The 13,292-nt window shown below is 38.7% G+C and overlaps 1 protein-coding gene across 3 annotated transcripts in view, besides 2 other annotated features; it reads right to left on the bottom strand.

Annotated features, from left to right (window-relative positions):
* Window positions 1-13,292, bottom strand: part of C12orf42 (chromosome 12 open reading frame 42) — a 516,167-nt gene that overhangs the window by 35,280 nt on the left and 467,595 nt on the right. The gene's annotated exons all lie outside the window — the stretch shown is intronic.
* Window positions 2,731-2,810: a silencer, noted in NCBI's record as "silent region_4776". NCBI's record gives its function as "represses an Ori minimal core promoter by ATAC-STARR-seq in GM12878 lymphoblastoid cells {active_cell/tissue: GM12878}" and the evidence as "EXISTENCE:reporter gene assay evidence [ECO:0000049][PMID:35858748]".
* Window positions 7,661-8,838: an enhancer, noted in NCBI's record as "VISTA enhancer hs967". NCBI's record gives its function as "enhancer in: forebrain[4/4]" and the evidence as "EXISTENCE:transgenic organism evidence [ECO:0001131][PMID:17130149]".

The following is a 13,292-nucleotide window of genomic DNA, read 5'->3' on the forward strand; positions in this document are numbered from 1 at the left end:
CATAGCATACATAGGTGGCTAAGCAGGTTTCTGTGAAGGCAGTGGCATACATCTTTAGTGGGAGTTTCAGGAAGAGCTTTATAGCAAGTTTCAGGAGGCATGCCAACCAAGAAAGGAGATGTGAAGTGAAGCCTCGGGTAGACTATAGGCAAGTGCAGACCTTAAAGTAAAAAATATATGACTGGGCACGGTGGCTGACGCCTGTAATTCCAACACTTTGGGAGGCCGAGGCGGGTGGATCATCTGTGGTCAGGAGTTTGAGGCCAACCTGACCAACATGGCGAAACCCCGTCTCTACAAAAATACAAAAATTAGCCAGACATGATGGTGGGTGCCTGTAATCCCAGCTACTTGGGAAGCTGAGACATGAGAATAGCTTGAACCCGGGAGGCAGAGGTTGCAGTGAGCTGAGATCGCGCCATTGCACTCCAGCCTGGGCGACAGAGTAAGACTCTGTCTCAAAACAAAAACAAAAAATACAAAGTCTAAGCACACAGTTTGATGCCCAGAATTATTTTTCAAGGTAGTTTCTGTTTTGATCATTAACCATACAAACTAGAAATTCATTCCCCAAAAAATGTGTGAGGCAAGGCCAAACTAGTTCATCTCTGTACTAGAAGTATAGTGAAAACACTACCTAAATTCTCAAGCTATTGCTATCAGTTTTTTTAAAAAGCTTTTGCTTTTCATCTCAATGATGGACTTTAAAGCATATCGCTCTTTAGATGGACAAAATTGTAGTTGGTAGTTTCATATAAAAAACTGAGTTGAAACTTCTACCTACCAAAATCAGGTCTTCTGTGGCTTTCAGCAAACATGTGAACAGAGTCTTTTGATTTGGTCAGTAAATATATTGTACTGAAATAGAATATAAACAATGAAGTATGCAAAATTTTTATTTGCCTGACAATTCTTAATGAGTCTTGTGATTTTGCCACTTGGTGTGTCTTCTGGGAAAGTTCTTAACCTCTCTAACCTCCAGACTCCTCAACTACAGAAAATGAAAAAACTGTATCTCCATCAACAGCCTGTTGGAAAATTCATATAGTGTTGTACATAATGTGATTAGCAGACTGCTTGGTATAGTAAGTATTTAGTAAATGATAACTGCAGTTTTCAATTCTTTTTTTGTCTTTAAAACATACATTTTTAAGATGCACTTCCTTAACATAATTAAAATTTTATGAGAATTGGCACCTAAATATTTATGTAGTATTTCTGTGATATAAAAGGGACATGGCCTTGTTGACTATTTCTTGTGCATTTTTCATTCTGCTAATTGCTCCTATCTGTTCAATTGCCTCTGTAACAGACTTGCTCTTTCTTGTCAAGATTTAAGTCACATGCCAATATTCTAGCAGAAAACAATTTTTATGACAAAATGGTTTTCCCTCCTTTAGAACAAGAATTGCTGCTTTAAAACAATGTCCCCACTGCATGTTTTCAGCTGGGGACTGCTGGCAAAATTTATTAGATGTTATACACTACTTTTTTTTAAATTATACTTTAAGTTCTGGGGTACATGTACAGAATGTGCAGGTTTGTTAGATAGGTATACACATGCCATGGTGGTTTGCTGCACCCAAATCTCTGTGCAAATAAACTTTTAAGATTCAGTTGTAGATATATATAAATGTTTTGAGATATTTCTCAAATAGCTATATAAATAATAATCTCCACATGGCAGGCAAGATCATTTGATTAGTGCATGATGAAATTCAGAATGTATACCTAGTTTTTAAAATGAGGTGTCAATGACTTGGTTATTAACCTATACACTGCATTCTGTGGTTAAAGCACTAGCTTGTTTCTTTTGGAAGCCAATTGGTATATGTTTGAAGATGTTTTGGTACAATGACAGTAACAACAACAACAACCAAGTATGCATTGAGATACTGTCATTTACTAGGGGCTAAGTTTTATATTTTATATATATATTCTATTGGCTAAAATAAAGACATATATGTGGTGCCCTGGGAAGGCCTGGAAACTTGGTAGTACTTACAAGTTTTTGAAATCTAAAACTATTCAAACAAAGTCAAGCCTACAGGTTTACCAAGAGGGCCAAATAATAAACAAATGCTACTCATCTCCAGGAGAACTGGGTAAGACAATGTTGAAGAGTTGGTGGAGAGGGAAATGAATGATCTTTGTAGAGCAGCCTCAGAACATTTAAATTTCCAAAGATAAATAATCTAGTGCTTAATTTTACAAGGAAATTATAATGAAAAAGCAACTGTTTTAAATGACTAGAAGTACCATTACATTGGAAAATAGATACATTTTTGGCAAATTAATTGAGTCCAACTGAGAATGTTTAGAACCCACGAGTTCCTACACATTTGCTTCTAATTCTAAGAGAGTCTCTTAGGTTTACTTTTAATATTAATCCTTAATTTGCCTACATGAAGCCTATCTGTCTTTCATTTTTCACTGTTGCTTTTAAGGGTAGTAGCTGTCCTCTCCCACTTCTTTTTAAATTCACCAATTTCCCAAATATGAGCTCATTCAAATCTAACTCACTTTTCTCTCCAGCACGCGGGTCATATGAGTAGACTAGGAGAAAAGAAAGATTTCAGAATGCACAATTCTTTTGAGGAGTCACTGTGCCTGCTGCAAAATTATTCGAATGAAAAGATTTTTTTTTTTTTTTAGGTAAAACGACAATTAAGGTCGACCTCCTCCGCTCAAATTAAAAAAGAGAAAAAGGAGTGTAATGAAGAATCTGACTCCTTCCTCTAATTTTACAAGTTCAATGGTAATCTAACCGTGCCATTCATTTACAGAAACCATTAATTTTACTATGTGGCTGAAAGTAGTAGGCCTCAGCTTTCATTCTCTTACTTTCCCCCTCCCTTGGTCTTTGTGTGTGCACCTGTTCAGGCCACTTTAGCATCCCATTTGTAAAACTTTGGGTAATCCTCTGGCACTAACCCTGGTGTGATAATACTTCTGTTATTCAGCAGCCTAATTACAAAGGACAACACAGATAAAACACTTCAGTCCTATTTTTAATAGCTGACTTGCCAATTTCGCCAAGCTCCATACAGAATGGTCTCCAAACCTTGCTGGATTTCAATTTAATCTGAATTTGTTCAGCACACGGAGCTCCAATACCTCAGAGCAGAACTTTTTTTGTTAGATTTTTGGACACCTCACTCCTTCTCCCACATTCACTCCTTTTTAATGATAATATAAACAATCTATTTGCTTTTTAGAATGTAGTTTCATAATATAATTGGAGCGTTTTTAAGCATTCCCCAACATCCATTTGAGACAACTGTTGATACCTTCAATAACAAAACAATCAGAGAATTAAGGTGTTAGGCACCAAAGAGTTACTTTACTTAATTAATCTGGATGAAAGATGAGCTGCTAACACTTCCTAATTTAACACATTTTTTTGAGAGCAATATTTTCAGAAGTAGAGGTCATTAAAATGTATTTAATATTTTGTTCTGGTTTAAGATGAAAAAAAAAGAGAGAACTATTTCTAATTCATAGCAAACCAAAGGAAAGAATCATTCCTTTAGTACAGATAAGCTTCCCAGAATCTGAGTACTTAACTCTACTTCTTTGATCTAGAAAGGAGCTGGAGACCAGGCAATACGAGATAATCTTATAAGTTCTGGATGTGTCCTGGTTGGGTAGAAAATATCTTGAAGTTTTGAGGGATTGACTAAATCTCTCCCTGAAAACATGTTTTGGAGGTTTCAGAGGGTGCCGTGCAACTAAAGGGCAGCTCCTGCCGCTTTCTTAATCCCTTCATTTTGAAACCCCAATAACTCAAGGGAAATTTAATACATATGTTTCTGATTCGCTTACACTGCTTCATCAAAACGGTGTTTTGTAAGAGCTATTTGATATCTAGGAAGCCTTCTCAGTCTTCTTTCTAAGCCTTTTATTTTGCTCCAAGAAATCACGTTTTCTTCATGTTCAGCAGAATTGGAAGCAGGGAAGGCTTAAGTTAGGTTCAAGGTCACACAAAATCAGTACAAGTTTGGAAGTTGGCAAACTATGTTGCTTTCCTCTGTTACAGCACAAAGCAAGCAGAAACTCAACAAGTGAAAAACCCAAGGGTATTATCAAAAGGAAATGCCATAAGTTAATTTCACTTAGTATTCCATTTAGTAATTAATCAAAACCTATATTTCTGCTTTCTTTTTTTCTCTAGTTTTTTGTTTGTTTGTTTGTTTGTTTTTTTAGATTCAGTAGGTACACGTGCAGGTTTATCACATGGATATGATATGTAATGCTGGAGTTTGGGTTTCTATTGAACTGATCATCCATTTCTGTTTCCTAAGATCCTGACTGTCACATATTAAATGACTGTAAAATTTAAGCATGTTCATTCCATTTTACAGATGCAAAAATCTGTCACAGTCTAAAGTGGTTCATGGTTTGCTTTGGTGCAGAGATGCTATAATTTGCTAAAAACACCAGCTACTCTGAGTCATATAACCATCCTGACTCATAGAACACTAGTGAGAAACATGGAGCAGAAGAGACATCCACTTTGGATCCTAGCAGAGCCCGTTAAACCTGGGGGATGTCACTGTTTTGAGGGGCAAGTTCAAGGTTTGAAATTTGAATACTTAATCATTGCAGTTCTCTAAAAGAGTGATAATAACTGAGAAATATCAAAGTAAGGCCAGTTATCTGAGAGTGGTTTACAATAATATACTGATTTATAATAACACTTACTGAGCACTTATATGGGCCAGGTGGCATTGTGCTAAGTGCTATACGAAATTAAAATCTTTCAATTCTCATATAATTCTATAAAGTAAAGACTTATTTTTATGACCATTTTTTAAAATGAGTAACATGAGGTTCAACAGTTTAGAGGGAAAGTTTATTAGGCTAGGTGTGACTGTTTCAGTTGTCTCTAATATTAGTGCACCATTTTATTCAACAGGACATGATTAAAATGTTTAATGGATAGTCTCAAATTTACATGTAAACACTGTAGGTAATGTTATGAGTTTGATATTATAAACTAGAACCCATTATTATCTCTGTTGTGACAGTAGTAAATACTGCAGTACTAAATATACGTTTTGCAGTTATATCCTTGACCAGTTGGCCTTTGCCAGAGCATTCTGGCCTGCACTGATTAGGTGATATATCTTATTTGTTTAACATTTTTCTAGGGCTATTAGATTTTGATTCCCAGGGAGCAAAGCAACTGGGATAGAACTTACAAACAGATCAAATTTTTCCTAAAGATAAAAATAAGAAGCCACAATCCTAGAATGTTAGGAGAATTTTCCATGAGGAAACACTGCTTCAGATGTACACTTCTGTGAAGATGGCTGAATTCTAGAAGGTTCATTCTAGATATTTTGTTATTGTTGTTTCCCAACATCTACCACAGTGCCTGGCAGGTAGCAGCCCTCAGTGAATTTTTGTTGAAAGGAGGAATAGATGACTAAATAAGAAATAGGGGACTTCTATATTCCCCAGCCTGGAGTTAAACATTTATTAGAAGACACTTATGGGACAGTTGGCAATTTTTGTCTCTGAGATCTTTGCTTTTGCATAGACTGATATGTGGAGAATTAACCAGTTGGTTTTACTATGTTAATTGAGTTGAAGTCACCTCTTTCCTCTTCCCACCAAAATCAGTGGTAGAGAAAAGTGCTCTGCCATGGAATTTGGGGTAGCCAGCTTCCAGTGGGTTTTCTCCTCCTGGGATTCATGTCCCTGCGGAGTCTCCTCCTATATGCAATGGAGCTGACCTATGCATTTAGTAAGATATTAAAGCAATGATAAAGTGTGACCTCTAAGGCTAGGTCATAAAATGTAGCTTCCATTACTTAAGTCACTTGCTCTGGGGGAAGCAGTCACCATGCTGTGAGGACATGTAAACAGCTTTCTGGAGAGATCCGTGCAGTGAGAGTCTCAAGAATCAACTCAGCTGGGTGCGGTGGCTCACGCCAGTAATCCCAGCACTTTGGGAGGCCGAGGAGGCCAGATCACGAGGTCAGGAGATCGAGACCATCCTGGCTAACACAGTGAAACCCCGTCTCTACTAAAAATACAAAAAATCAGCCGGGCGTGGTGGTGGCGCCTGTAGTCCCAGCTACTCGGGAGGCTGAGGCAGGAGAAAGGCGTGAACCCGGGAGGCGGAGCTTGCAGTGAGCTGAGATCGCGCCACTGCACTCCAGCCTGGACGACAGAGCGAGACTCCATCTCAAAAAAAAAAAAAAAAAAAAAAAGAATCAACTCGGCAACCCCTTGAGTGTGCAATCTTCAAGACAGATCTTTTGGCCCTAAACAAACCTCAGATGACTGCAGCCATGGTTATCATCTTGACAAAAACCTCATGAGAGACCCTGAGTCAGAACCACTCACCTTAGCAGCTCCTGAGCTTCTGGCCTAAACAAATGGTGAGATTTTTTAAAAGAAAATGTATTGTTGCATTCAGCTGCTAAATTTTGAGGCAATTCATTTGCAGCAACAGCTAACTAATACAGAATGGCACTGAGTGACACAGAGTCAGCCTAGAACACTTAGGAAAATAAATATGTACTGTCAATGGACATCTCTTTACAGGGCGTATCTTCTTCTGATTCATACTGGCCCGTAAGAAATCGGTAATGAGACTCCAATATTTCATATGAGAATTAGACCTAACAATATATTTTTCTTAGTGATGCTTCACATGAGGTGGGTGTACTTTGTAGAGATTTTATTAAGAGGGTGTGTGTGTCTGTGTGTGTGTGTGTGTGTGTGTGTGTGTGTGTGTTAAAGATTCCCAGCCATCTTGATTCATAGTGAAATTAATTCTGAAACATCATGAAAATTGGATTCTGGCATCTTGTCTACTGTGTGACATTGGTCAGGAAACTTCAACTCTCTGAATGTCAGTTTGCTTATTGAAAAGTGAAAAACTTAAAGTGTCTCTTAGTTAAAAGTTTTATGAATAAAATATATTAAAAAACAAAACAGGGCCTGAAGGTGAGGGTCAGTATTTTTGGAATTGAAAGACAGTTACCTGGAAAACCTCCATTTGTCTGCAATGGACACCGAAAAGATTTTAAAGTGAGCATGTGTGTGATATTATCTACCTGCTACCCACACACACTGTATTAGAACCCAGAGCCAGCAGGGCAGCTCCTGCACAGATCTCAAAGGATAGCAATGGAGCAAGTCATCAGTGTAGATGAACTATTCTGAAGATTAGCTATCAACAATTAAATTTTTCTTGCTAAGATTTCATTCTCCATGACTTGTTTAGCGTGGTCTGATGCCTGAAGGAAGAAAATTCAAATGCACTTGTTTGTTCCTAGTATCAGCCACAGCATGATCTCAATCAGGTTTTTTTGGTTTTATGGAGGAAACGTTTCTGGCGACACAGGGGAAGTGAATGGCTATGGCACCTTGTGACATTGGATGGGATTCGGGATGAGGCACAGTCACCACCGAATTAAATGCTGAAGCCTTGAGGAGCTTCAGAAAAATGGCCCTTAGAAGAAACACAGATTGAAATGGGAAGTTTGAGTCCTTGCTCCAGCACTTACTAGATGTGTAACTTTGGGTAAAATGTTTAATCACTCAGAGTGTCACCCTCTGCAAATGGGCCTAAAAAAAATCCACCTCATAGAGGTGTTGAGAGATCAGATGAAAAATCTCATAGAAGACATTAAGCATGGGGTTCTGCCCATTGAGCTATGTAAATAATGATCTCCAATATCATAATAGTTATAATTACAATTCCACCTATGATCCAAGTGGTTTGATTATGAATATTCTCTTTGGAGATAGGCTTTAGGGAGGTTAAGGCATTTTTTTTTTCCCCAGGAAGATACCTACATTTCAACCGGGAGTTGTAGAATATTTACAAATTCTGCCTTTAAACCAGACCAGAGAGAGGACGTGGATTCTTTCACATTAAGAAAAGCAGAGACTTAAAAATCAATGTATGATTTTAGAAGACTTATTTTATTAGAACCAATGGATAACTTTTTGTTCCTGAGAGAGGGAGGGCTCTTCATGAGAGAGACAGTAATGTCATTATTCATGCTGTAAGCCAGCCCACTTCAACTGCTGGTCTTCACAATGCCTACAAGTGTAAAAAAAAAAAAAGAATACAAAAAAACCACTTGCTTCCTTTTTTATGAGTATTGACATTCTTGTGCAGTATTAGGAGAGCTAATTTAGCTTCCAGTTCTAAGAATTTTTGAATCTATAGCCAGTAATTATTGGCATTCAGGGGTACAAAAGAGGAAAACAAAGCCTGCAAATTCTAGCACATTCATGTGGGATTGGGAGCTGAATTAGGATCCTCACACCCCATTGAATGATCAGCCCCCTATTAGAGCTTTATTAAAATGGTAATGATTATATGCCAGCTATAGGCAGGCAGCCGCACCTGTCAAAAACTACCCCGATTATCCTGTTCATTGAACTGTCTGGCTCTTGAATCAGTGTCTCAGGTTTACTCCTCTGTGAAGTTTTTTCCCCCTCTTGCCTCAAATAAAAAAAAAAAAAGATACAAGAACAAACATTTTCTTGGAGTCACAGAGCACTCTTGTCGTTCTCCTCATTTTGTTTTTGTATCTGGTATGGAAAAATGATAGAGAAGCTATTCTCTCTTTGGTTTGGGATAGAAACAGGAGAAAGAAACAGAAAACATGTAAAGTTCCATCTAAAAAAATTCATGTTAGTAGAAGAAAATGCAGGTCTGTAATTAATCTGGAAACTGGGATCATTCGATTGTCAGCCACATGTACTATGATGAAGGGGTAGATTCTTGTTATTTATGCATCAGTTACCTAGTTTAGAGATCTGTTGTCCTTCATTTAAAAGACATTTGGGGTTTTCATCCATCTTTTGCTTTTAGAAACGCATTAAACAATAATGGATTTCATTTGAAATCACCTTTTTTTCCAAGATTGAAACAACATTGAATGCACAATGTTGTTTTCTTACAAGACCAAATCTTGTCCTCACCACGAGGAAAAGTCTCTTTTAAACTATTTAATTTATTGGTTTGTCATATCTATTAGAGAAGAGCCTATCAGTAGGAAAGGTCTCTGGCAGGTTGACTGTCATCACAAGTACTTGTAACAGATGCTGTGGTGGTAACTGATCACAGCACTTGCAGAGAAGGATCAATATATGGGGAAAAGCAGATTTTTGTTTGTTTGTTTGGTTTGCTATGTTCTTGTTTGTTAGAAAATAGCTTTCTCTGACTAGTAAAATTTCTTGGGGATACCACAAAGGATGTTAGTTTCCTCCAATATCTACAGGACTCAAGAGATTTCTATTACCTCTCAGCCATAAGTCTTAGTCACTGGAGAACAGAGCAGGAAGTAAACGAGTTGTTTGTTTATCATTCGCTTTCTGGTAGGATGTTCCGGGGGATATGCTTTGAAGATGCAGGGAGCTAACAATAGACAGAACTAATCTCAAATTCCTTACACACACTCTTTTGTTAGTTTGCACGGGGGGAAAAAACAGCATATGAATTTGGGATTTTGTGACACTTACCTACCAGAGAGTAACCTTGGAGTTCCAGTCCTTTTGATGTTACAGCATGAAAATATTCACCATGAGGTCTAAGTTAACAGACCTCTTAATTACATGGAGCTGCTGCTTGCATTACTATAACAACAGAATAACACCTTTTACAGTAATTCACAATTCATCTGAGACATTCTAAGAATGCTATTTATTTATTGAATGACTTCAGTGCAACGTATTCTCCTGCCTTCCCCACACTCATCACCCAATCTCTACCCTCCCCTATCCAGCCAGTATTAATAGAATATCATGAAGTACCAACTGAAGAATTTTCAAGCCATTGCTACAGCATTTGTTAAGGACTGTATCATGAGATAATCACATATAGAAATAAGTGATTACTTCACAGTCAAGGCTATTGCCAGGACATCTAAGTGGCCAAACCCTTTTCCTCAACCTTGCTATAGCAAGAACGATTCTTTGCCGCTCTGTCCAGAAACACTTAGCCTGACACCTGTGTGATGCGCCACCATCCTGGGTCTCCCTCTTCCCTGTTTCACTTCTGACTCCTCTCACCACTTCCTGTCCACATCTCTGGACCTTTCTTAGGGCTATAACTTTGGCATCTTTTCTCTTTTCTGGCCTTGCATAGGACTCTGTTTCCTGCATCCCTTCTCTTTTCTTTCAACATTTCTTCTTAGCATTTCTATCCTATCCCATGATTCCTACTATTTCCTCTATAAAGAAAACTTTGAATCAATCTCAAGCCAAGGCTGCTGCAGTCATTCATTTCTCACACCTGGTTTCTTATTTTTCAAGATTGTCCTATGAGTCTCCAATTCAGCTTGACCATGTCTGAGTTGGTTGTTGTTAAACCTGCTTTAAGGTCCATAGATTCAATCTCTGCAGCATTTTGCAGCAGGATATTTTTGTGATGAACTGGAGAGTACATTCCATTGTCCCTTCCCCGCCATGCCCATTTACACATTCTATCCTACAATGACTGCCATCCAGATGGCAGTAAAGAAATTCCACAGAACAAAACAATCCTTGGTCTTTGAGTTCGAAAGCCAAGACTCCAAGAGAACTCAGTGTAAACATTATATGTGGAGAAATTTGTAGTCAATTTCAGCTCCCTTATGCATATACACTAGATAAGGAAGTCTTGGGTTGGAGGGAAAGGTGAGAGGAACAAAGGGGATGTGAATAAAGAGGGAATTAGGTGGGCTCCAGGACAAGGATACCAGGACTGACCACATTCAGGACTTGCACAGCCTGCATTCCTGGGGACAGACATCATCCTTAACCAAGCCCATGAACCGCAGGTATCTAAGCCAGTGTTCACTGCTCACAGAAGCTTCATCTCAGCAAGCAATATACATGGCCATGCTGGGCAGCTCTATTAATGGTTCTTCATGGTAGCATCTGGTGCTAATCTGTGGATAGTAGCCAGCAGAAGTGACTCAAGACTTAGATGTCCTAAGTCCTAAGACTTTGCTCAGTCCTCTGTGTCGGCAGCCTCCTTTCACTGACTTTGCTAACTTCTCCTCTCCCACTCACCTCTTGAGTTGGAGAATGGACTCTGGTCTGTATACTTAAGGGAGGGCGTGGTGCTGTGGGAGGAAAAGTCCAAAGTGTATTTGGCTAGATATGAGAGGGATCTGCTCAAGATTTTCCTCCTGGTCAAGACAGTGGTGGGAGAAACAACTTGCCCTAAAATCTCTTAAATCAATGACTTTGTTTCTACTTTCCCTGCCACTAGCCTATATCAGGTTTTTATGACCATCTTACTTATGCCATTACATCCTTGGTTTCTCATTCCTCCCACCTATTTTGCCCTTTGCTGTCAGGCTAACCTTCTTCAAGTCTGGATTCTTTCAAGTTAGTTCCCTATTAAAACACTTTGAGTGGTCTTCCCTTTCATATTGAATGAAGTTCAAATCCCATTTATGGCTTTACTATATAGGTATCAAAACCAATCTTACCTCCTACCAGCCTTAAAGGGAACAATCCATTCCTGAATTGTCTTAATCCATAGACCACAGAGGCTATTCTTCCCTATTATCTCAACAGGATTCAGTTCTAGGTATTTCTAGGTATTCATTCCTAGAGGTTCATTTAATTCATGAGTTCTTTCCCCTGGTACCTTCCTTTCACATAAAAAGCTGGGAGTCATCTCTTCCTCCTCTGACTTTCCACAGCTCTTCATCAGCACCTCATTTATGACCCTTTTATCTTTAAATACGTTATATGTACATGTTTTATTTACCCTCATAAATGGTGTGACCCTTGAAAGTAGGAATAGAATAGATTCCTCTTTAAATCATCTAGAAAGCCTAGATGTTGCCTGCCACATAAAATTCAAGATACACATTTGTTGGAAAAAAGATTATTTCCTTCATTAAATATCTGTGGTTTGTGTCATGTGTCCGGTTGGATTGAACTGCTGTTAATGTGTTCTGAAGTAATCATCTAGTAAAGCTGTTCAATTCCTGAGCTAAGTAGTGTTGAGTATAAAAGGTTAGAAGCAATTAAAAATGCAACATCAAAGTTAATTTTATTATTCTATGGACTGCATAAAATCAATTAAAACAATTTAAAGTTGTAGTATTTAATTTTACCACAGGTCCAAAATCTTGGGGTGATTTCGACTTCACTTTTTATATCCCAGAATCAATTGGAAAATCCCGCCAGCGTTTCTTACCACCTCTGCTGCTACTCTGTTTTAAGCTGCCACCAACTATCACCTGGATTATGGTAATAGCCCCCTGATTGGTCCCTTCCCTCATAGTCTATTTCAACACAGCAGCTGAAGTGATCCCATTAAATCGTAAGTCAGGTCATGTCATACCCTCATTGGAAACCTCTAGTAGCCCCATCAGGTTCAGAATAAAGTCTAGTGCTCTTATACTGCTCTACCAGGCCTTGCCTGTTCTGCCTCCAGCCCCACTTTATCTGCGACCTCTTTTCCTACCTTGCCACTCCTTGGTAGCTCTGATCCCTTCACACTGGTCTCCTTGCTGCCCTTGAACACACCAGGTACTCTTCTGCCTTAGCTCCTGTGCCCCATTGTTCCTTGCCTGAAACACTCCTCTTGTAGATTTGGGTAGGACTGAGTCACCTGCTTCAAGTCTGCCTACATGTTACCTTTTCAATAAGATCTACTCCCAATGGCCCTGTTTAAAATTGCATTGACCTTACCCTTCATTCCCTACAATGCATTGCCTTCCAACATACCATACACCTCACTTATTTATTATGAGAATTTTATTTTTCTGTCTTTCCCTGCTAGAACAAAATTTCCACGGAGGCAGAGGGTTTTTATCTGTTTTGTTCAATTGTTGTGTCCTAAGAGCTTAGATCAATTCCTGACACATAGTAGGTGCTCAGTAAGTATTGAGTGAATAAATGCCACAATATTAGAGTTGAACGGGAGGACTTTGAAGAGCTTCTGGTCTAGTGGTTCCTGATGTGAGGTCTCTAAAAGTCTTATTAGAACAATTTTCTGAAAACCTAGTGAAAATTACACATTTGACCATGATAAGATTGCCCAGTTCTGTGGGTCCCAAACTGTGTGCCAGGGATCACTGGGGTTGAGGTGGGGTGCTGAAGTGAACTCATGGGGCACTGAGGGATAATTCTAAATTTATGGAAAATACAGCAACACTCAACATCTGTCAGACACCAGGCACATTTCTAGCTCAAAGTAGTTCATGGTCTCAAAATTGGATTGTGCTCCGTTTCTTTTGCTAATCTATTTTTGTAAAACTGAGTTTTTGGCCATTGCTGCCGTAAAAAGCAATCAGGTGCCATCTGAAAGT

Source organism: Homo sapiens, chromosome 12, assembly GCF_000001405.40.
Source record: "Homo sapiens chromosome 12, GRCh38.p14 Primary Assembly".
NCBI lineage: Eukaryota > Metazoa > Chordata > Mammalia > Primates > Hominidae > Homo > Homo sapiens.